Raw genomic sequence first — 22,421 nt, 5'->3', positions numbered from 1 at the left:
TTCTGCTTTTATTTTAAATGTATATTGCCTGTCAAGAAGTAGGTTTTGATGGCTAAATGTTTCAAATAATTTTTTTTTTTTAATATATACTACTTCCTTTTTCTTTTAGAATTGTTGCATTTCTCTACTCATGTTTTCTCATTCCTGCTTTGTAGCATGAAAGTAGAAATGATGCATCTCTTCTTTGGATAAATCCCTTGCCTCTATTCCATTCTAGAACTTTGCCTACTAGTTCCCCCACAATATTCTCTTCTTCCCAGAACTTGCCAGGTTGAGTCTCCCCAGAGCCAAAGAGTTGGTTCTTCCAACAGACAAAAAGTCTCTAGTTCCTGCCTAGCAGCTGGCTCGTACAGTACTTAACTGGCAAACTTCGAGTTTATAAATGACAGGAAACGCGCCTTTCAGAAATGCTCAAACAGTAGGGAAGAAGGAATTGGCAGCTAGTGAAGCAGAGCAAGAGCTGGAATTGGCATAGTGCGTGTCGCCTTAGCTGGATGGTCTTGGCAGCATACAGTTGGATTGGCAGAAGTAATCCCAAGGGCTGCTGGCTTCAGTTTTGATAGCCTCTTTGGAGTCTTCTCAGAAGTCTCCAAAATGATAGTGTAATCTTAAAATGGCTAGCTTTCTGCTTATGAAAGAGGCAAGAGAGATTAGCACTTTTTTAGGCTTAAGGTACTCTTTAAGAAACAAAGGGCCAGGCGCGGTGGTTTATGCCTGTAATCCCAGCACTTTGGGAGGCCAAGGTAAGAGGATTGCTTGAGATCAGGCTGGGCAACATAGGGAGAACTCTGTCTCTACAAAAAAAAAAAAACTTTTTTAGATTAGCCGGGGGTGGTGGCCTTTGCCTATCCCAGCTACTTGGAAGGCTAAAGTAGGAAGATCACCTGAGCCCAGGGAGGTCAAGGCTGCAGTGATCCGTGATTGAGCCACTGCACTCCAGCCTGGGTGACAGAGTGAGACCTTGTCCAAAAAAAAAAAAATTATGAGTTGGAAGGAATTTTTTAAATCAGATGAGTGTTTCAGGGAGTCTCTTAGTCTTCCTCCTTAAGATTTCTCACAGTGGGTGCAACTCTTTTGTTGGTAAACAATTTCTAAGTAAGTAACTCACTGTGCACATTTATTATCTCTGAGAAGCCTTGGTTATCTAGTTATGGTGAAAAACTTTCTTTGCCTTTTTTTTTTTTTTTTTTTTTTTAATGTTAAAGACTTCAATATTTTGTTCAGGTCATGGAGTTGAGTAAACTTAGTTTCAGTTCCAGACCAAAATCCATTTAAAAACAACAACAAAAAAACCCAGGAGTATCTATTTTACAAGCCAAAGGGAAACCGTGGCATCCTTCCAGGTACCTGGAGGCTGATCATGTTGGCTGACATGCATGTCTCCATGCCTTTGTGATGTCTTAGATTTTGTCCCCCACAAAGTAAATACACTTAACCTTACTGTTTGCTCATACTTGTATGTCTTCACGATAGATGATTAGGAATTACTCATTGGCAGACTTCACCAGTTATGCAAACTTTCAGTTGAGCAGCTTTGTTCTTCTGTTATTTCAAGCCGTAGTTGAGAGTCTGCCAAGAAGTCCAAAGGAAGTTTTGCCGATAGGCATCTGGCACAAATCCATTGGGAAGCAGCTTATGTCCTGTGAACATCCTTCAGTCCCAAAGAATGTATCCAAGAAAAGGTTCAGACAATGCAACTAGACCTTAACTTAAATGGAAGGAATGTGTAACAAGACTGGGTAACGCTAATGGGCCTTTTCCAACCTAGGTCTCATAGACTTAAATTCAGGTGAAAAAGGCTTATAACTTTTGCTCTGCCTGCTGAGTTTTGCAAGTAAAAATTTAAATTATCTGCCTATTTGGGGTGTCCAAATCCTGACACAGGCTTGTTCTAGCATAGGCTTATTTTAGTCTCGATTTCTTTTCTTTTTTATTTTTTGAGACAGAGTCTCGCTCTGTTGCCCAGGCTCTGGAGTGCAGTGTCATGATCTTGGCTCACTGTAACCTCCACCTCCCAGATTCGAGCGATTCTCCTGCCTCAGCCTCCTGAGTAGCTGGAATTACAGTCACGTGCCCAGCTAATTTTTGTACTTTTAGTAGAGATGGGGTTTCATCATATCAGCCCAGCTGGTCTCGAACTCCTGACCTCAAGGGATCCGCCCGCCTCAGCCTTCCAAAGTGCTGGGAGTACAGGCGTGAACCACAGCACCCGGCTCATGGCTTATTCTGAATCCCATATAAGAATGAAGTGTACCAGAGAGCCAATTTAATGATTGGCAAAAGTTGACAGCATATTTATGTGAGCTGCCTTACATTCCCAGAGGAAAATTTTCTTGAAAAGTAATCTTTGGTTAAGAAGATGCTTCATGGATAGGAAATTGGAGCAAAGGGAATTGGACGACGTTCAGAAATGTCTTCACCAAGCCTCAGACATCTGATGAGTCAACTTTTCTTCAAGACATGATTGCCAACAGCACACATCATTGTCTGTCATTCTAGGGCAGCATCTCCTGGTGTGGAAAAACACTTAGTTTGCTTCTAACTCTGCTGCTTCTATTTGACAAGTTCTGTTGCTTCTGTTTTCATTCCAGGATAGGACATTTTAAAGTCTACACATTGATTCTTCATGTATGTGCCCTTTTTTTCTGTTACATTTTGGTCCTTTTGACCCTTATCTACTGGCCACTATTCCTTTTCCAAAGCTTCACACAACATTTCTCTTAAGTTTATGCTTAAGCTTCATTTTGGGTTTGTTATTTCTCATCAGCAAAACAAGAACATGGACAGCCCTTCATCACTATGTCAGAAAGATAACTTTGTTTTTGTTTCTCACAACAGCAGCCTTGGACGTGTTCCAGGCTAAGACACATGCATGTTCGGGCCAGGCTTTCACTCTGAGGAGGATGCTGCTACATTAGTGTTCTCTGGGGATATTTAGGAATTGCTCTCTGAAACCAGTACCAGGAATAGTCATTTTTTAATAAGTAAATGAATAGTTTTTCTCTCATAGTCATGGGAAATCATGCAACTAACTTTTTAAAAAATTAGCTGCGAGGAAGCTTAAAGCCAGATTTGTATAACAGCATTTTTGGCTTCATCTTATCTTGAGTGTTCAGTTCCCTATGCTCTTATTTCTTCACCTCCTTTGTTTTATCTTTACAGATTATGTGTATTTTATAAGCAGCATAAAATTCTTTTTGGAACAAAGCCCAGGAAACAAATAATTACACAGTCATGACAAAATACTGTGGGGTAAATCTGGGAAAGTTACACATTAGGTTTAGTTTGACCATTGAAAAGGTCTTTATCACCACCAGCTTCCCCCAAGTATATTGTTCAGAAGAACATAATACGGACATTCTTAGTGAGATAAAATATTTAGATCCCACCCTTAATTTTTTTTAAAATGGTCAAGATTAACTTAATGGTCTTGATACAAGGACCAGAATGATGAAGTAATGCTAACATTGAGCACAGTTGATAGTCAGTGTTGGCATTAATTCACTTGGTCTATCCAGTTATAAAATAAAAAAGGCCATAAAGGGATAAATGACACATGGTAATTGTGTGACACACTGGGGGCTGTGAGTTATATAGTATCTTCCAAAGAGAGATGCTGTTCTTCTGACTTAAATAGTGAAGAATGAAATAATTTTATTTTGTGTTCTTTGTTGGTGAAGAGAAACAGAAGTGATCTGGCCAAGCTGTGCAGGACAGGCCCCTAACACAAATCTCCACATAATAGTTTAGTAGGAAGGCAAGTCTTCTTCTGATGTATGTGTTCTAAAAATGCTGAATAGCCAGAAGGGAGATTTCATTTAGCTAACAGCTATATTAATACTTGCAGTGTGTTACATTATCCTAGAAAACATGGAGTATGCCAGAGAACTTTGCCAAGTTGTAAACAATATGGTACAAATTTAGTACATCTGTTTATACAGGTGCTGAAGAAACAAATGATTAGAGATGGGTGGGTGATTAGAGATGATGAATTGAATTTTGGGTTAACTCTTACATAAATAAGAGGTACATGATGGGGATTGAAGATATAAAGGAAGAGACAATAGAGTTTAAGTGATTTTCATTTGTAGGAAACTAGTTGATATGGTTTGGCTGTGTCCCCACCCAAATCTCATCTTGAATTGTAATTCCCACTTGTCAGTGGGAGGTGATTGGATCATGGGGGCGGATTTCCCCCTTGCTGTTCTTGTGATAGTGAGTTCTCATGAAATCTAAGGGTTTAAAGGTGTGACACTTGCCCCATCCCTTACTCTCTCTCTCTCCCTCCTGCCGCCAAGTAAGACGTACCTTGTTACCCATTTGTCTTCCGCCACGATTGTAAGTTTTTTGAGGCCTGCCCAGCCAACTGAGTCAATTAAACTCCTTTTTTTTTTCTTTTTTTTTTTTTTCTGAGACAGTTTCGCTCTGTCACCCAGGCTGGAGTGCAGTGGCACAATCTCAGCTCACTGCAACCTCTGCCTCCCAGGTTCAAGCAGTTCTCCTGCCTCAGCCTCCCGAGTAGCTGGGACTACAGGCACACGCCACCACGCCCAGCTAATTTTTGTATTTTCAGTAGAGACGGGGTTTCACCATGTTGCCCAGGTTGGTCTCGAACTCCTGACCTCAGGTGATCCACCCACCTTGGCCTTCCAAAGTGTTAGGATTACAGGGGTGAGTCTAAACTCCTTTTCTTTATAAATTACCCATTCTTGGGTAGTTCTTTTTTTGTTTGTTTTTTGTTTTTGTTTTTGAGACAGAGTCTCACTCTGTCTCATCTGTACACACCCATCTTATGCACGTTTAAGATACTTTGCAACTTAAAAGTTTCAATTCCTTTATCTTCACCTGACAGTTATTTAGCTATATCTGAAGGTGCTTTATAAAGATTTTCAGAAAGTTCAGTTTTCCATTTTTCACTAATTCATGTAATGATGCAATCAAATTTTTAAACATAAACTTCTGTGCCTTGGTACAAATACTTCTAAGAATTTATGTAATAGAACTTCTAAGTCAAAGAGCACAAACTTTTAAAATTGACAGACAGTTCCAAATCATCATGGTCCCAAATCATCATGGTAGTACATGTATTTTATGGTCAATAAATTTATTAAAGAAAGGAAGAAATCATCTTAGTATAAATCATGCCTTTCACTTTTATGAAAAATAAAGCAGCCGGGCGCAGTGGCTCATGCCTGTAATCCCAACACTTTGGGAGGCTGAGGTGGGCGGATCACTTGAGGTCAGGCATTTGAGACCAGCCTGGCCAACATGGTAAAACCCCATCTCTACTAAAAAATACAAAAATTAGCCGGGCATGGTGGTGTGCACCTGTAATTCCAGCTATTCGGGAGGCTGAGGCAGGAGAATAGCTTGAACTTGGAAGGCGGAGGTTGCAGTTGCAGTGAGCCGAGATTGTGCCACTGCACTCCAGCCTGGGCAAAAGAGCAAGACTCCGTCTCAGAAAAAACAAGAAAAAGCAATGTATGATTCTAGACCGTATGTCTAGTATATATTAGTCTGTTTTCACACCGCTATAAAGAACTACCTGAGTAATTCCAGCACTCTGGGAGGCCAAGGCGGGCGGATCACCTGAGGTCAGGAGTTCAAGACCAGCCCGGCCAACATTGCTTGCTTTCAGTTGTTGCTTTCAGTTCTTAATCTTCAGTCCACCCCTATTTTTCAAAATAAAAATAACTGACTGTCTCTGGATGCCCTTTTTAGCATTTTGATGATCATAGGTTTAAGCTTTTGCCAACTACGCAAAAGAAATTTCTTTTGACTCACAGGAAGTCATACCAAGGCCAATCAAGGGACTTGTGAGAGGAGAGGGGAAGGCAGCCCCTCGAGTGACAGTTCTAGTGGGCACTTTTCTTTAAAGCTTTCATGTATATTTTTGACAGCTCTAGAGAAATATATATATAATATAAATATTATATAAATATATATTGTATAAATATTATACATTATTTTATTTTATTTTTTTGAGACAGAGTCTTGTACTGTCACCCGGGCTGGAGTGCAATGGTGTGATCTCTGCTCACTGTAGCCTCCGCCTCCCAGGTTCAAGCCATTCTCCTGCCTCAGCCTCTCGAGTAGCTGGGATTACAGGTGCCTGCCACCATGCCTGGCTTATTTTTTGTATTTTCAGTGGAGATGGGGTTTTACTATGTTGGCCAGGCTGGTGTCGAACTCCTGACCTTGTGATCTGCCCACCTCGGCCTTCCCAAAGTGCTGGGATTACAGGCGTGAGCCACCGTGCCTGGCAGCTCTGGCTGTATTTTAAAGCATATCTATACCCATTGAGAGCTTCATACTGGTTTATGAATCTGGCTTAGGAGATAGAGAAACCCAGGTTTGAATCGTGGCTCCACCAGGTGGTGTGTGACTTCAGGCAAATAACTTAACCTCTCTGGCTCAGTTTTTTCAATTCTAAAATGAGAATGTTGTTAGTTTCTAGAAATTGGATCTGTTGTGGGGTACAAATGAGGTCATGCACAGCACCTCACACAGAGGAGACCCAAACTGATCTTGCCACATGGCTGCTGCATACACTCACCCTTGTCAAAGTTATTTTTGCCTCAACCTGAATTTTTATCTCAGCATGCTTTTTACCCATCTCCACTACTCTTATGTGAAAACAAAGGCAGTATTCAAAGGTATCATAAATGTATTAACTGGAGTCCTACTGGAATGGAATAACTAGAATTCCATAGACTGAGCAGGGGCCTTTTTGTATGGGAATTTAATATTTACCAATTTTAAATGTTCAGGCCCTTTTGACTCAGCAGTTCTACTTCTAAGAACGTGTTGCAGTAGAGGTATTCAAACAGGGCACAAATTTTATGTACAAAGATTTTATTGAAACATTGAAGTTGGAAACTATGCACACACACTGTAGGTGAGGTAAATCAACTGTGGTATATCTATTTGAGGGAATACTCTTGTCAAAATGCAGTAGGGACGTTTGAGTGAAAAAAGATATCCAAGTTAAGGTAAAAAAGCAAATTAGGATGTTATTTATTGTATCCATTCCTTGTTTTAATTTTTTTTTTTTTTGAGACGGAGTCTTGCTCTGTCGCCCAGGCTGGAGTGCAATGGCGTGATCTCTGCTCACTGCAAGCTCCACCTTCCGGGTTCATGCCATTCTCCTGCCTCAGCCTCCCGAGTAGCTGGGACTACAGGTGCCCGCCACCACACCCAGCTAATTTTTGTATTTCTTTTTTAGCAGAGACGGGGTTTCACGGTGTTAGCCAGGATGGTCTCGATCTCCGGACCTCGTGATCCTCCTGCCTCAGCCTGCCAAAGTGCTGGGATTACAGGCATGAGCCACCGCGCCCGGCTCTTGTTTTAAATTTTTACTACATTTTTTTTACTCATAGAATATGTCTGCCTGACCTTTCTGGTTTTCCATGTCTGTCTTTTCACTGGGCTTCTGTCATTCTTCTTGAGCATTTGGCTTGAAAGAACGAAGTACTGAAGCTGTTTGGGTATAGCACTTACTTTAGGTTAGGTAGGTAGTTGATTGTAGAGGTCTAAATTACTTGGTCATGTATAAGTTTTTGTGATTAACCTTGGTAATTCCTAGACAAATTCTTGCTATTTTCAGATTTGTTAGCACATTGTTGTACTTTAATTTTTCTCTTGTCCAGTTATCCTTTCCCATTTCAATTTTATTGGAAAATAGGCAAAAGTTATTCCTTATATTCAAAGAACCAGCCCTTTTGTTATTTCTGGAGTGTTTTTGTTAAAAATATTTTCTTCAGAGGAAACCAAAGGCTTAAAGTTGTTTAAAAAAAGTAGTTAAGGGCCAGGCGCAGTGGATCACCTGAGGTCAGGAGTTGGAGACCAGCCTGACCAGTATGGTGAAACCCAATTTTACTAAAAAGACAAAAGTTAGCTGGGCATGGTGGCACACGCCTGTAATCCCAGCTACTCAGGAGGCTGAAGCAGAAGAATCGCTTGAACCCAGGAGGTGGAGGTTGCAGTGAGCCAAGATTGTGCCACTACACTCCAGCCTGGGAGACAGAGCAAGACTCTGTCTCAAAAAAAGAAAAAAAGGAAACAATTAACTGAATTTTTCCTTTAAAGATTTAAGATGATAGTAGTTGAGATTTTTCTTGAAAAATGTAAACAAATGAGGTAGCAGAAAGGATACAGCCCAACTACTTTTGAGTGGGATTGATTTTTCACCTGTGTCATAGGTGGGCGTCTAGAGAGACAAAGAGACTCTCAGATTTAAATAAACACGATTAAAATTCCTACCAAACAGGGTGAGTAAACTGTGACCTACGGAATGGCCTCCTGGTAAGTCTGCATTGGGGGACAAGCGAGTGGCACGGCCTGTGTGTCTGATGTGGGGTTCTGCCGTTGGTGATCAGTATCTCTCCATGGATTTATGGTGCTTAGTGCTCTGCTCTTTGCCTCTGCTCTGGGCTCACAGGAAAAAGGTGGAACCATTAGTGCCACTAGTGATCTCCATGTGGGAAGAGTGATGTCATTTGGTAGTCCGACATTAAATGGCACAAATTGGTTTCTACATCTAGTAAAGCTGTCAGAGCCCAGTGTTACTGTTTTCTTTGGCTGATTTTTGAAAACGGCTTAAAATTTTAAAGATTTCTACCTAGTTCCTGAGATTTTTGAAAGCAAAACTGTTGCTCTGCGGTTGTTTGAGACTTTTTAAGAATTTCAGGACGGGTGCGGTGGCTCACGCCTGTAATCCCAGCACTTTGGGAGGCCGAGGCGGGCGGATCACGAGGTCAGGAGATCGAGACCATCCTGGCTAACACGGTGAAACCCCGTCTCTACTAAAAATACAAAAAAATTAGCCGGGCGTGATGGTGGGCGCCTGTAGTCCCAGCTACTCGGGAGGCTGAGGCAGGAGAATGGCGTGAACCCGGGAGGCGGAGCTTGCAGTGAGCCGAGATTGCGCCACTGCACTCCAGCCTGGGCCACAGAGCGAGACTCCGTCTCAAAAAAAAAAAAAAAAAAAATTAGAAATTAGGATCTGTCTTATGGCTGTGTGTATACATACTACAGTACTGATGGGTTAACTTGAGTACTTGGGAGCTGAATTTATAGTATTATGCAATAGGAATCTAAGATTCAAGAGAATCCCATGAAAGTGTTTATCAAGTAGTTCATGTCTAAGTTGTGTAAGACAAAATATCTTCTTTTTTAATTAATTAATTAATTAATTTATTTATTATACTTTAAGTTTTAGGGTACATGTGCACAATGTGCAGGTTAGTTACATATGTATACATGTGCCATGCTGGTGCCCTGCACCCACTAACTCGTCATCTAGCATTAGGTATATCTCCCAGTGCTATCCCTCCCCCCTCCCCCCACCCCACAACAGTCCCCAGAGTGTGATGTTCCCCTTCCTGTGTCCATGTGTTCTCATTGTTCAATTCCCACCTATGAGTGAGAATATGCGGTGTTTGGTTTTTTGTTCTTGCGATAGTTTACTGAGAATGATGATTTCCAATTTCATCCATGTCCCTACAAAGGACATGAACTCATCATTTTTTATGGCTGCATAGTATTCCATGGTGTATATGTGCCACATTTTCTTAATCCAGTCTATCATTGTTGGACATTTGGGTTGGTTCCAAGTCTTTGCTATTGTGAATAATGCCGCAATAAACATACGTGTGCATGTGTCTTTATAGTAGCATGATTTATAGTCCTTTGGGTATATACCCAGTGATTGGATGGCTGGGTCAAATGGTATTTCTAGTTCCAGATCCCTGAGGAATTGCCACACTGACTTCCACAATGGTTGAACTAGTTTACAGTCCCACCAACAGTGTAAAAGTGTTCCTATTTCTCCACATCCTCTCCAGCACCTGTTGTTTCCTGACTTTTTAATGATTGCCATTCTAGCTGGTGTGAGATGGTATCTCACTGTGGTTTTGCTTTGTATTTCTCTGATGGCCAGTGATGGTGAGCATTTTTTCATGTGTGTTTTGGCTGCATAAATGTCTTCTTTTGAGAAGTGTCTGTTCATGTCCTTGGCCCACTTTTTGATGGGGTTATTTGTTTTTTTCCTGTAAATTTGTTTGAGTTCATTGTAGATTCTGGATATTAACCCTTTGTCAGATGAGTAGGTTGCGAAAATTTTCTCCCATTCTGTAGGTTGCCTGTTCACTCTGATGGTAGTTTCTTTTGCTGTGCAGAAGCTCTTTAGTTTAATTAGATCCCATTTGTCAATTTTGGCTTTTGTTGCCATTGCTTTTGGTGTTTTAGACATGAAGTCCTTGCCCATGCCTATGTCCTGAATGGTAATGCCTAGGGTTTTTATGGTTTTAGGTCTAACGTTTAAGTCTTTAGTCCATCTTGAATTGATTTTTGTATAAGGTGTAAGGAAGGGATCCAGTTTCAGCTTTCTACATATGGCTAGCCAGTTTTCCCAGCACCATTTATTAAATAGGGAATCCTTTCCCCATTGCTTGTTTTTCTCAGGTTTGTCAAAGATTAGATAGTTGTAGATACGCGGTGTTATTTCTGAGGGCTCTGTTCTGTTCTGTTCCATTGATCTATATCTCTGTTTTGGTACCAGTCCCATGCTGTTTTGGTTACTGTAGCCTTGTAGTATAGTTTGAAGTCAGGTAGTGTGATGCCTCCAGCTTTGTTCTTTTGGCTTAGGATTGACTTGGCAATGCGGGCTCTTTTTTGGTTCTGTATGAACTTTGAAGTAGTTTTTTCCAGTTCTGTGAAGAAAGTCATTGGTAGCTTGATGAGGATGGCATTGAATCTGTAAATTACCTTGGGCACTATGGCCATTTTCACGATATTGATTCTTCCTACCCATGAGCATGGAATGTTCTTCCATTTGTTTGTATCCTCTTTTATTTCATTGAGCAGTGGTTTGTAGTTCTCCTTGAAGAGGTCCGTCACATCCCTTGTAAGTTGGATTCCTAGGTATTTTATTCTCTTTGAAGCAATTGTGAATGGGAGTTCACTCATGATTTGGCTCTCTGTTTGTCTGTTATTGATGTATAAGAATGCTTGTGATTTTTGTACATTGATTTTGTATCCTGAGACTTTGCTGAAGTTGCTTATCAGCTTAAGGAGATTTTGGGCTGAGACAATGGGGCTTTCTAGATATACAATCATGTCATCTGCAAACAGGGACAATTGGACTTCCTCTTTTCCTAATTGAATACCCTTTATTTCCTTCTCCTGCCTGATTGCCCTGGCCAGAACTTCCAACACTATGTTGAGTAGGAGTGGTGAGAGAGGTCATCCCTGTCTTGTGCCAGTTTTCAAAGGGAATGCTTCCAGTTTTTGCCCATTCAGTATGATATTGGCTGTGGGTTTGTCATAGATAGCTCTTATTATTTTGAGATACGTCCCATCAATACCTAATTTATTGAGAGTTTTTAGCATGAAGGGTTGTTGAATTTTGTCAAAGGCCTTTTCTGCATCTATTGAGATAATCATGTGGTTTTTGTCTTTGGTTCTGTTTATATGCTGGATTACATTTATTGATTTGTGTATATTGAACCAGCCTTGCATCCCAGGGATGAAGCCCACTTGATCATGGTGGATAAGCTTTTTGATGTGCTGCTGGATTCGGTTTGCCAGTATTTTATTGAGGATTTTTGCATCAATGTTCATCAAGGATATTGGTCTAAAATTCTCTTTTTTGGTTGTGTCTCTGCCCGGCTTTGGTATCAGGATGATGCTGGCCTCATAAAATGAGTTAGGGAGGATTCCCTCTTTTTCTATTGATTGGAATAGTTTCAGAAGGAATGGTACCAGTTCCTCCTTGTACCTCTGGTAGAATTCGGCTGTGAATCCATCTGGTCCTGGACTCTTTTTGGTTGGTAAGCTATTGATTATTGCCACAATTTCAGCTCCTGTTATTGGTCTATTCAGAGATTCAACTTCTTCCTGGCTTAGTCTTGGGAGGGTGTATGTGTCGAGGAATTTATCCATTTCTTCTAGATTTTCTAGTTTATTTGCGTAGAGGTGTTTGTAGTATTCTCTGATGGTAGTTTGTATTTCTGTGGGATCGGTGGTGATATCCCCTTTATCATTTTTTATTGTGTCTATTTGATTCTTCTCTCTTTTTTTCTTGATTAGTCTTGCTAGCAGTCTATCAATTTTGTTGATCCTTTCAAAAAACCAGCTCCTGGATTCGTTAATTTTTTCAAGGGTTTTTTGTGTCTCTATTTCCTTCAGTTCTGCTCTGATTTTAGTTATTTCTTGCCTTCTGCTAGCTTTTGAATGTGTTTTCTCTTGCTTTTCTAGGTCTTTTAATTGTGATGTTAGGGTGTCAATTTTGGATCTTTCCTGCTTTCTCTTGTGGGCATTTAGTGCTATAAATTTCCCTCTACACACTGCTTTGAATGCATCCCAGAGATTCTGGTATGTTGTGTCTTTGTTCTCGTTGGTTTCAAAGAACATCTTTATTTCTGCCTTAATTTCGTTATGTACCCAGTAGTCATTCAGGAGCAGGTTGTTCAGTTTCCATGTAGTTGAGCAGTTTTGAGTGAGTTTCTTAATCCTGAGTTCTAGTTTGATTGCACTGTGGTCAGAGAGATAGTTTGTTTTAATTTCTGTTATTTTACATTTGCTGAGGAGAGCTTTACTTCCAAGTATGTGGTCAGTTTTGGAATAGGTGTGGTGTGGTGCTGAAAAAAATGTATATTCTGTTGATTTGGGGTAGAGAGTTCTGTAGATGTCTATTAGGTCTGCTTGGTGCAGAGCTGAGTTCAATTCCTGGGTATCCTTGTTGACTTTCTGTCTCGTTGATCTGTCTAATGTTGACAGTGGGGTGTTAAAGTCTCCCATTATTAATGTGTGGGAGTCTAAGTCTCTTTGTAGGTCACTCAGGACTTGCTTTATGAATCTGGGTGCTCCTGTATTGGGTGCATATATATTTAGGATAGTTAGCTCTTCTTGTTGAATTGATCCCTTTACCATTATGTAATGGCCTTCTTTGTCTCTTTTGATCTTTGTTGGTTTAAAGTCTGTTTTATCAGAGACTGGGATTGCAACCCCTGCCTTTTTTTGTTTTCCATTTGCTTGGTAGATCTTCCTCCATCCTTTTATTTTGAGCCTATGTGTGTGTCTGCACGTGATGGGTTTCCTGAATACAGCACACTGATGGGTCTTGACTCTTTATCCAATTTGCCAGTCTGTGTCTTTTAATTGGAGCATTTAGTCCATTTACATTTAAAGTTAATATTGTTATGTGTGAATTTGATCATGTCATTATGATGTTAGCTGGTTATTTTGCTCGTTAGTTCATGCAGTTTCTTCCTAGTCTTGATGGTCTTTACGTTTTGGCATGATTTTGCAGTGGCTGGTACCGGTTGTTCCTTTCCATGTTTAGCGCTTCCTTCAGGAGCTCTTTTAGGGCAGGCCTGGTGGTGACAAAATCTCTCGGCATTTGCTTGCCTGTAAAGGATTTTATTTCTCCTTTACTTATGAAGCTTAGTTTGGCTGGATATGAAATTCTGGGTTGAAAATTCTTTTCTTTAAGAATGTTGAATATCGGCCCCCACTCTCTTCTGGCTTGTAGAGTTTCTGCTGAGAGATCTGCTGTTAGTCTGATGGGCTTCCCTTTGTGGGTAACCCGACCTTTCTCTCTGGCTGCCCTTAACATTTTTTCCTTCATTTCAACTTTGGTGAATCTGACAATTATGTGTCTTGGAGTTGCTCTTCTCGAGGAGTATCTTTGTGGCGTTTTCTGTATTTCCTGAATCTGAATGTTGGCCTGCCTTGCTAGATTGGGGAAGTTCTCCTGCATAATATCCTGCAGAGTGTTTTCCAACTTGGTTCCATTCTCCCCGTCACTTTCAGGTACACCAGTCAGACGTAGATTTGGTCTTTTCACATAGTCCCATATTTCTTGGAGGCTTTGCTCGTTTCTTTTTATTCTTTTTTCTCTAAACTTCCCTTCTTGCTTCATTTCATTCACTTCATCTTCCATCGCTGATACCCTTTCTTCCAGTTGATCACATCGGCTCCTGAGGCTTCTGCATTCTTCACGTAGTTCTCGAGCCTTGGTTTTCAGCTCCATCAGCTCCTTTAAGCACTTCTGTGTATTGGTTATTCTAGTTATACATTCTTCTAAACTTTTTTCAAAGTTTTCAACTTCTTTGCCTTTGGTTTGAATTTCCTCCCGTAGCTCACAGTAATTGGATTGTCTGAAGCCTTCTCTCAGCTCATCAAAGTCACTCTCCGTCCAGCTTTGCTCTGTTGCTGGTGAGGAACTGTGTTCCTTTGGAGAAGGAGAGGCACTCTGCTTTTTAAGAGTTTCCAGTTTTTTTGCTCTGTTTTTTCCCCGTCTTTGTGGTTTTATCTACTTTTGGTCTTTGATGACGGTGATGTACAGATGGGTTTTTGGTGTGGATGTCCCTTCTGTTTGTTAGTTTTCCTTCTAACAGACAGGACCCTCAGCTGCAGGTCTGTTGGAGTACCCGGCCCTGTGAGGTGTCAGTGTGCCCCTGCTGGGGGGTGCCTCCCAGTTAGGCTGCTTGGGGGTCAGGGGTCAGGGACCCACTTGAGGAGGCAGTCTGCCCGTTCTCAGAGCTCTAGCTGTGTGCTGGGAGAACCACTGCTCTCTTCAAAGCTGTCACACAGGGACATTTAAGTCTGCAGAGGTTACTGCTGTCTTTTTGTCTGTCTGTGCCCTGCCCCCAGAGGTGGAGCCTACAGAGGCAGGCAGGCCTCCTTGAGCTGTGGTGGGCTCCACCCAGTTCGAGCGTCCTGGCTGCTTTGTTTACCTAAGCAAGCCTGGGCAATGGCGGGCACCCCTCCCCCAGCCTCGCTGCCGCCTTGCAGTTTGATCTCAGACTGCTGTGCTAGCAATCAGCGAGACTCCGTGGGCGTACGACCCTCCGAGCCAGGTGCGGGATATAATCTCCTGGTGTGCCGTTTTTTAAGCCCGTCGGAAAAGCGCAGTATTCATGTGGGAGTGACCCGATTTTCCAGGTGCCGTCTGTCACCCCTTTCTTTGACTAGGAAAGGGAACTCCCTGACCCCTTGCGCTTCCCGAGTGAGGCAATGCCTCGCCCTGCTTCGGCTCACCCATGGTGCATGCACCCACTGACCTGCGCCCACTGTCTGGCACTCCCTAGTGAGATGAACCCAGTACCTCAGATGGAAATGCAGAAATCACCCGTCTTCTGCATCGCTCACGCTGGGAGCTGTAGACTGGAGCTGTTCCTATTTGGCCATCTTGGCTCCTCCCTCCCGACAAAATATCTTCTAATATTTCTAGAAACATTTGCTGATTGGGTATACATACTGGGTTTTTCCTTTCTTTTCTTTTTTGTTTTTTCTTTTTTTTTTTTTTTTTTTTTTGAGACAGAGTTTCACTCTCACCCAGGTTGGAGAGCAGTGGTGTGATCTCAGCTCACTGCATCCTGAACCACCTGGGCTCAAGTGATCCTCCCATCTCAGCCTCCCCTGAGTATCTGGGACCACAGGCAAGCGCTACCATGCCTGGCTAATTTTTGTAATTTTTGAAGAGATGGGGTTTTGCCATGTTGCCCAGGCTGGTCTCAAACTCCTGGGCTCAAGCAGTCCACCCACCTTGGCCTCCCAAAGTGCTGGGATTACAGGCATGAACTACTGTGCCTGGCTTTTTTTTTTTTTTTTTTTTTTAAACAAAAGCATATTACTGGCTTCTTCAGTTGTGGCTCATTTCAATAACTATTTCTTGTAATATGTGTCTTGGAACTAGCTTATCCTTGGAAGTGTTTTTCTCACTATATTGTTAGAAGGTAAACAAAGTGGAAAATGCATAAATTATGTGCACTGCTTCTGTACTTTAGAACTGTTAGTTGACTGGTAGCATTACTGAACCTTGAACCTTGAATTGGCCTTTTTAGGAGCCCAGTCACTGTGAACTCTTGAGCAAATGTGTCCTTTATCCCTGCAAGGACTATTTGAAAAGAGACCCAGGAAGGGCACAACTGGCTTGAAGTGGGAAGTAGTGAAGGAATGAGGTACATAGATAAAATCTATTTATGAATGACCTTTCAGGAGTTAGCCTACAAAATATTTTCTAATTTTTTCATGTATAAAATGCAAAGGGGGCTGGGCGCAGTGGCTCACGCCTGTAATCCCAGCACTTTGGGAGGCCAAGGCGGGTGGATCATTTGAGGTCAGGAGTTCAAGACCAGCCTGGCCAACATGGTGAAACCCTATCTCTACAAAAAAAAAAAAAAATTAGCCGGGTGTGGTGACAAGTGCCTGTAATCTCAGCTCCTTGGGAAGCTGAGGCAGGAGAGTAGCTTGAATCCGGGAGGTGGAGGTTGCAGTGAGCCGAGATCGTGCCATTGCACTCTAGTCTGGGCAACAAGAGTGAGATTCCATCTCAAAAAAAAAGCAAAGGGAAGGCACAGATGGAAGGAATAAGGAATTCTGTGGGAAAGCATCTTAGGGCATCTTACCACTAAAGTGAATTAGCTCTCTCCTAATCCTGTCCTGTGCTTGGATGTGATAACTATTGAATGACAGTGGTAAGGTTTCATACAATTTAGTCATATGTAACAAAATTCAGCTTTTCTCTTAAACACTTCACTGTGTATGTGTTTAAGGAGTGAAACCTACATAGATAAGGTGTGGAGCTGGCGTCCTTGAGTTCTGTTGTGTTTGATATGTAGCCCAGAATTTCATTTACTTGTTAAGAATCTACCTTGAGAGTGGTAGGGGGCTCTTACTTAATTTTTAATGCAAGCATGTCCCGCTATTCTAATATGATTAAACTTTACAACATCTACATATCTTTTAAATCCATAACTCAGTGACATTTTAAAGTTTAAGGCAACAGTAGAGAAAAGTGAAATTTTAAATACCACTGTTTTCAGGATGACTGTATGAGATCTTCTTGACCTATTAGGTAAGGTCTGGTCAACTTCTTATGGTAGCTTTTCCTTAAACTTTCCTGGTATTCCTACTGCATGAGAAGGTGTCCTTCCTAAAGCTAATGTTAACAAAAGCCTGATTTGTAGCAAATAAACATGGGTGTCCTGGCTTTCTTTTCTAACAGCAATCAGAAACGGAGACTGTTCATCTGTTTATCCCAGCTCTATCAGTCGGTGCCATCATCGGCAAGCAGGGCCAGCACATCAAGCAGCTTTCTCGCTTTGCTGGAGCTTCAATTAAGGTACTGTTCTACCAGCTGTGGTTCTCTGGTTCTTTAAGTAAGTTACAGAAATATGAATCTTCTTGCCACTTTATAATTTGAATAGAATGTAAAAGACACTGTTAGGGTTACATAAGGATATGAAGAAACCCCCAAACAACAGTGGCTTACACCAAGGAGGCTAACTTCTCTGTGCAGAAAACACAGTTAGGAGGTGAACATCCGGGCTGGGTGTTGGCTCTGCCCCCACCAAGTCCTTGGACCTAAGTTCCTTCCAAGCCACCTTCCCCAGGTACGGCCTTGGTCCCTCTTGGTTCCAGATTGACACCATTCAGTGCTCCAGGAATCAGGTCTGTTGCCCAGCCAGTAGGAGAGGAGAACATAATAAAGAGCTTTTCTTCTAGGGAGGTTTCTTGTTAGCTACTGTGGGATATTTCTACCTATATTTCCATTGCCCAGAACTTGGCCAGACGAAGTTGAAGGGGCAAAATACAGGCTATGCACAGTCAGCTAAACATTTTGTAACTACAGAAGGTAACATACCAGAGGACAAATAATGGTGTCTGCCGTAATAGATAACTGTGTGTTCTGAAGATTCTGTATTTTGATGCCTTATTTAAGGAAAATAAAGGTTGGCCAGGTGCGGTGGCTCACACCTGTAATCCCAGCACTTTGGGAGGCCAAAGCAGGCAAATTGCTTGACCCCAGGAGCTGAAGACCAGACTGTGCAACATGGTGAGACCCCATCTCTACAAAAAAAAAAGTGTAATTAGCCAGGCATGGTGGCACACACCTGTAGTCCCAGCTGCTTGGGAGGCTGAGGTGGGAGGAACACTTGAGCTTGGGTGGTTGAGGCTGCAGTGAGCTATGATCACACCACTGCACTCCAGCCTAGGCCACACAGTAAGACCCTGCCTCAGACAAACAAAGGCATGTGGTGTGCAGTATCCTTGAAACTTAGGGTACAGAGATTCCTAGAGTGTGTTGCATACACAGGAAGCCCAAGGAGCCCTGATGCAAGTGGGCCAAGGACCATACTTTGAGCACCACTGGTGTAGTGAACACAGGCAATGGAGACAGACCCAGCTCTCCCTCTAGCTCTGTTAGCTGTGTGATCATGGTCCAGATAACTCAATTTCTCCAGCCTTCCATTTCCGCATTTGTGAAGTGGAGGTAATACTACTTCATCAGGACGTGGTGAGGATTAGCTGAGAGACAGCACGTGGAGGTCTCCATTAGGGCCCGGCACAGAATAAGCATATAGTATATGCAGGAGGGAGGCCTAAATTGTGAACCCACAGGAATTGCTGCCTCTCCCTAATTTCCTTCACGAAGGCTTTAATTCTGCATTTCAGCCAGTCACATGCAAATGTTAGGCTGGTTGGCCCAAGATGCCTATCAGTGATACCTGAAAGTATCATAACTTGTTGTTGGGTCTGTTACAGATTGCTCCAGCGGAAGCACCAGATGCTAAAGTGAGGATGGTGATTATCACTGGACCACCAGAGGCTCAGTTCAAGGTATGTGCTCTAGAGTATGTGCTATGTCCACAGGTAACAAATGCACAGGTAGTCCATAACCTGGCGTCTCCCTTAAATATGTCTAAATCTCAGAAAGAGTCAATGGAAATTCTTATCTAAGAGCTGAGTAGAATCACACTCAAAATTATATTTCGAAATTAACCAAAAGTCTTTAATTTTAAGAGTTCTGTACTGGTTGCTGGATTTACCTGTCTCTCAAAGGTTAATTTTGCTTAATGGTTTGTAATCCTATGCTAAGGTGAGACCTTAAAATTTACAAACCTGCCAGGTTAATATGCCTTGGAAACTTGTTTTCAGATGTTTTCCCTCCTGTCCCTGAGATTGCCTAGACTTGAATTAAAATGCCCCCTTTTTCCTTACCCTTGGATTATCTCTGTTAGACCCTGCCCATAGACTCTACAAATCTCTCTAATCCCTGGGATCTTAGAGATAGGAATGGCAGGAGCTCTTGTAGCATTTGTTCTGGTATGAACCATTGCACGTTTAGTGGGATTTGAGGTCTTTGGGGCTGCAGTGTGCCTTTCAATGTCTACTGAGAGATGGTAGAGCTGAGACTTGGCAGCCAGGCTGCTAGTTCAAATCCTAGCTCTGCCATTTGCCTTGTATGACATTGGGCAAGTTACTTAACCTTTTTCTGTAAAACCAGGGATAAGAGCACCTACATCCTAAGGTAGTTTAAGGTTTACACAATATATGAAATGTTTAGAAAAGTGCCTAACACATGGGCAGCACAAAATTAGCGTGCTGGGGGTATTCAACAGACTATGGATGAATCAGACTAAGACCATGCCAAATTCATAAATATATTCCTTTTAGTGTATGATTTCTCCCACAAAATTTAGTATGGGTGTCTTGTCTTAGAACATTTAGTGGCTGTGTAAGAAGACAACTATTTAACCTTAAGCTGTAGTTTTTTTTTTCTCTTTTTTTTTTTTTTTTTTTTGAGACAGAGTCTCACTCTGTCGCCCAGGCTGGACTGCAGTGGCGTGATCTCAGCTCACTGCAAACTCCACCTCCTGGGTTCAAGCGATTCTCCTGCCTCCGCCTCCCGAGTAGCTGGGATTACAGGCATGTGCCGCCACGCCCAGCCAATTTATTTTTAGTAGAGATGGGGTTTCACCATGTTGGCCACACACTCAAACTCCTGACCTCAAGTGATCCGCCCACCTTAGCCTCCCAAAGTGCTGGGATTACAGGCATCAGCCACTGTGCTCCTGGCCAAGCCTTAGTTTTTTTAGCCTTAAAGTGTAACAGTAACTAGTAACAGTGCATACAGTTCTCTCCCCACCCCACCTCTCTCCCTTAAATCAAACAAAAAAAATCACTTTCTTTGACTTCTATTTTCTCTGGGCCATTTTTTCACTAAAAACCCAAAGCTGCTTTCACTTATGTGAAGAATGGGAAACGAAGGAGGTGCTTTGAGATGTGGGTGGTTAGGTGAAGAAAGAAAATCATGTGAAGAAATTTATTCCTTCACAGCAGCCTTGTGATCCAGGCAGTTCAAATCTTAACTCAGAATTGTTGAAAACTGCTTCCTATCCCAAACTCTCAGGGTCACTTTTAGTTTGAAATCTTAAAAGATAAATACAAACATGTCTTTCCTTGGTGCTGAGCTTTTAGTCTTATAAGTAGAATTACTGTCCTGCAACTCCTATGATGTTTGTATGATAGGAACTTCAAAGTTCTTTCCCTGTATTCACTAATAAAACTCATGTTTTATAGTTAACTTAAATGTAACACTTAAGCCATAGTAGTTAAATTTTATTTATGTGATTGGTGACAATGCTAAATGAATGTTTTACTTTAGAGATCTAAGGAATGGTAAACCACCTACCCCGTATTTTTCCTTACAAATTCAAGAGCTTCAGTTTTGGAGGATAGTGTATATCCCTAGTGTCTTTTTGACTGTCTTAAGTAATAGTAATATCTACGTCATTGGCCTGAGGCATTAAGGATCATTGGAATATAGGGTATCAAGATGAATTTTGTTTTGTCGGTAGTGCCCTAAAATGAGCTCAGCTTTCTGAATCAGTGAACGCGTGTTGGGTACTATTGTTTTTTGTGGTTTACCCTGGCAGCTTGTCAAACCAACTCTCAGGCTCCTTTCTGCTTTGCTGTATGTAATAGGTTGTTTATATATAATAGGTTGTTTATATAGTTGCATGCAGTAGGTGATAGGATGTATTGACTCTAAATATCAGAAGTGTCTTGGCCAGGCGCGGTGGCCCACGCTTGCTATCCCAGCACTTTGAGAGGCCTAGGTGGGTAGATCACTTGAGTCCAGGAGTTCCAGACCAGCCTGGCCTACATGGCAAAACTCCATCTCTACTAAAAATACAAAAATTAGCCAGGCATGGTGGTGGATGCCTGTAATCCCAGCTACTTAGGAGGCTGAGGCAGGAGAGTCACTTGAACCCAGGAGACAGAGGTTGCAGTGTGCTGAGATCGCACCACAGAGAAAGAGACTCTGTCTCTAAAAAAAATAAAATAAAAAAATAAAAAAAAATAAAAGGCAGGGCACAGTGAGTGGCTCATGCCCATAATCCCAACACTTTGGGAAGCCAAGGTGGGTGGATCACCTGAGGTCAGGAGTTCAAGACCAGCCTGGCCAACATGGTGAATCCCCGTCTCAACTAAAATAACAACAAAAAATTAGCTGGGTGTGGTGGCGGGCACCTGTAATCCCAGCTAGTTTGGGAGGCTGAGGCAGGAGAATGGCTTGAACCCGGGGGTCGGAGGTTGCAGTAAGCCGAAACCATGCCATTGCACTTCAGCCTGCATGACAGGGTGAGACTCTGTCTCAAAAAAGAAAAAAGTGTCTTACCTTGATGTTGTAGCCTCTTTAAAATATTCAAAGGAAAAACCACCTTTCTAAGAGTATGAAACACATTTAAATTGAAAACATTTTTCTCAGCAGGTTTCTAACTGGCCCATGTAGATGTGAGCTTGACTTTTAGTGAGCTTGGCATAGCTGACTCTGCAGTTCTGTCTCTTTTGCTCAAAAAAAATGTGACCAGGTGTGGTGGCTTGCACTGGTAATACCAACACTTTGGGAGGCCAAGGCAGGACTCTTGAGCCCAGGAGTTTGTGATGAGCGTGGCAACATAGCAAGACCCCCATCTCTATAAAAATTAGTGGCGCAGTGGCTCACACCTGTAATTCTAGCACTTTTGGAAGGCTGAGGTGGGCACATCACTTGAAGTCAGGAGTTCGAGACCAGCCTGACCAACATGGTGAAACCCCATGCCTACTAAAAATGCAAAAATAATTAGCCAGGTGTGGTGGCTAGTGCCTGTAGTCCCAGCTACTCAGGAGGCTGAGGCAGGAGAATCACTTGAACCTGGGAGGCGGGGGTTGCAGTGACCCAAGATCGTGCCACTGCACTCCAGCCTGGGCAACAAAGTAAGACTCCGTCTCAAAAAAAAAAAAAAAATAAGTCAGGTGTGGTGTTGCATGCCTGTAGTCTGCTACTCAGGAGGCTGAGGTAGGAGGATCGCTTGAGCCCAGGAGGTTGAAGCTGCAGTGAGCTATGATTGTACCATTGCACTCCAGCCTGGACAACAGGAGGACCCTGACTCCAACAAAAAGGAAAGAAAAATGCAACTGATGTCTCATGGCCAGCATGAGAAGTTTTACCTATCACAATTTTAGTACGAATGGCCATTTGCCCACAAAAATTCGTTTTTATTAGGTTATTAATTGCCTTTAACTGTTTTCATCAGAAGAATATGGTTTATCCTTCTTTCACCAAGCATTCAGTTGCCTCTACT

The 22,421-nt window shown here is 42.1% G+C and overlaps 1 protein-coding gene across 7 annotated transcripts in view, besides 1 other annotated feature; it reads left to right on the top strand.

Moving 5' to 3' along the window:
• IGF2BP3 (insulin like growth factor 2 mRNA binding protein 3) overlaps window positions 1–22,421 on the top strand; it is a 160,283-nt gene that overhangs the window by 134,223 nt on the left and 3,639 nt on the right. For all 7 annotated transcript variants that reach the window (NM_006547.3, XM_011515089.3, XM_047419782.1 and 4 more), the window contains 2 exons: window positions 17,015–17,131; window positions 18,556–18,630. In NM_006547.3, coding sequence (NP_006538.2) covers window positions 17,015–17,131; window positions 18,556–18,630 — 192 coding nt within the window. The remainder of the gene's footprint in view (window positions 1–17,014; window positions 17,132–18,555; window positions 18,631–22,421) is intronic.
• Window positions 305–599: a silencer, noted in NCBI's record as "tiled region #6228; K562 Repressive non-DNase unmatched - State 15:Elon". NCBI's record gives its function as "represses a minimal TATA promoter and a strong SV40 promoter by Sharpr-MPRA in K562 cells {active_cell/tissue: K562}" and the evidence as "EXISTENCE:reporter gene assay evidence [ECO:0000049][PMID:27701403]".

The sequence above is a fragment of the Homo sapiens genome, chromosome 7 (genome assembly GCF_000001405.40).
Source record: "Homo sapiens chromosome 7, GRCh38.p14 Primary Assembly".
Taxonomy (NCBI): domain Eukaryota; kingdom Metazoa; phylum Chordata; class Mammalia; order Primates; family Hominidae; genus Homo; species Homo sapiens.
This window is presented reverse-complemented; position numbering and strand designations above follow the sequence as displayed.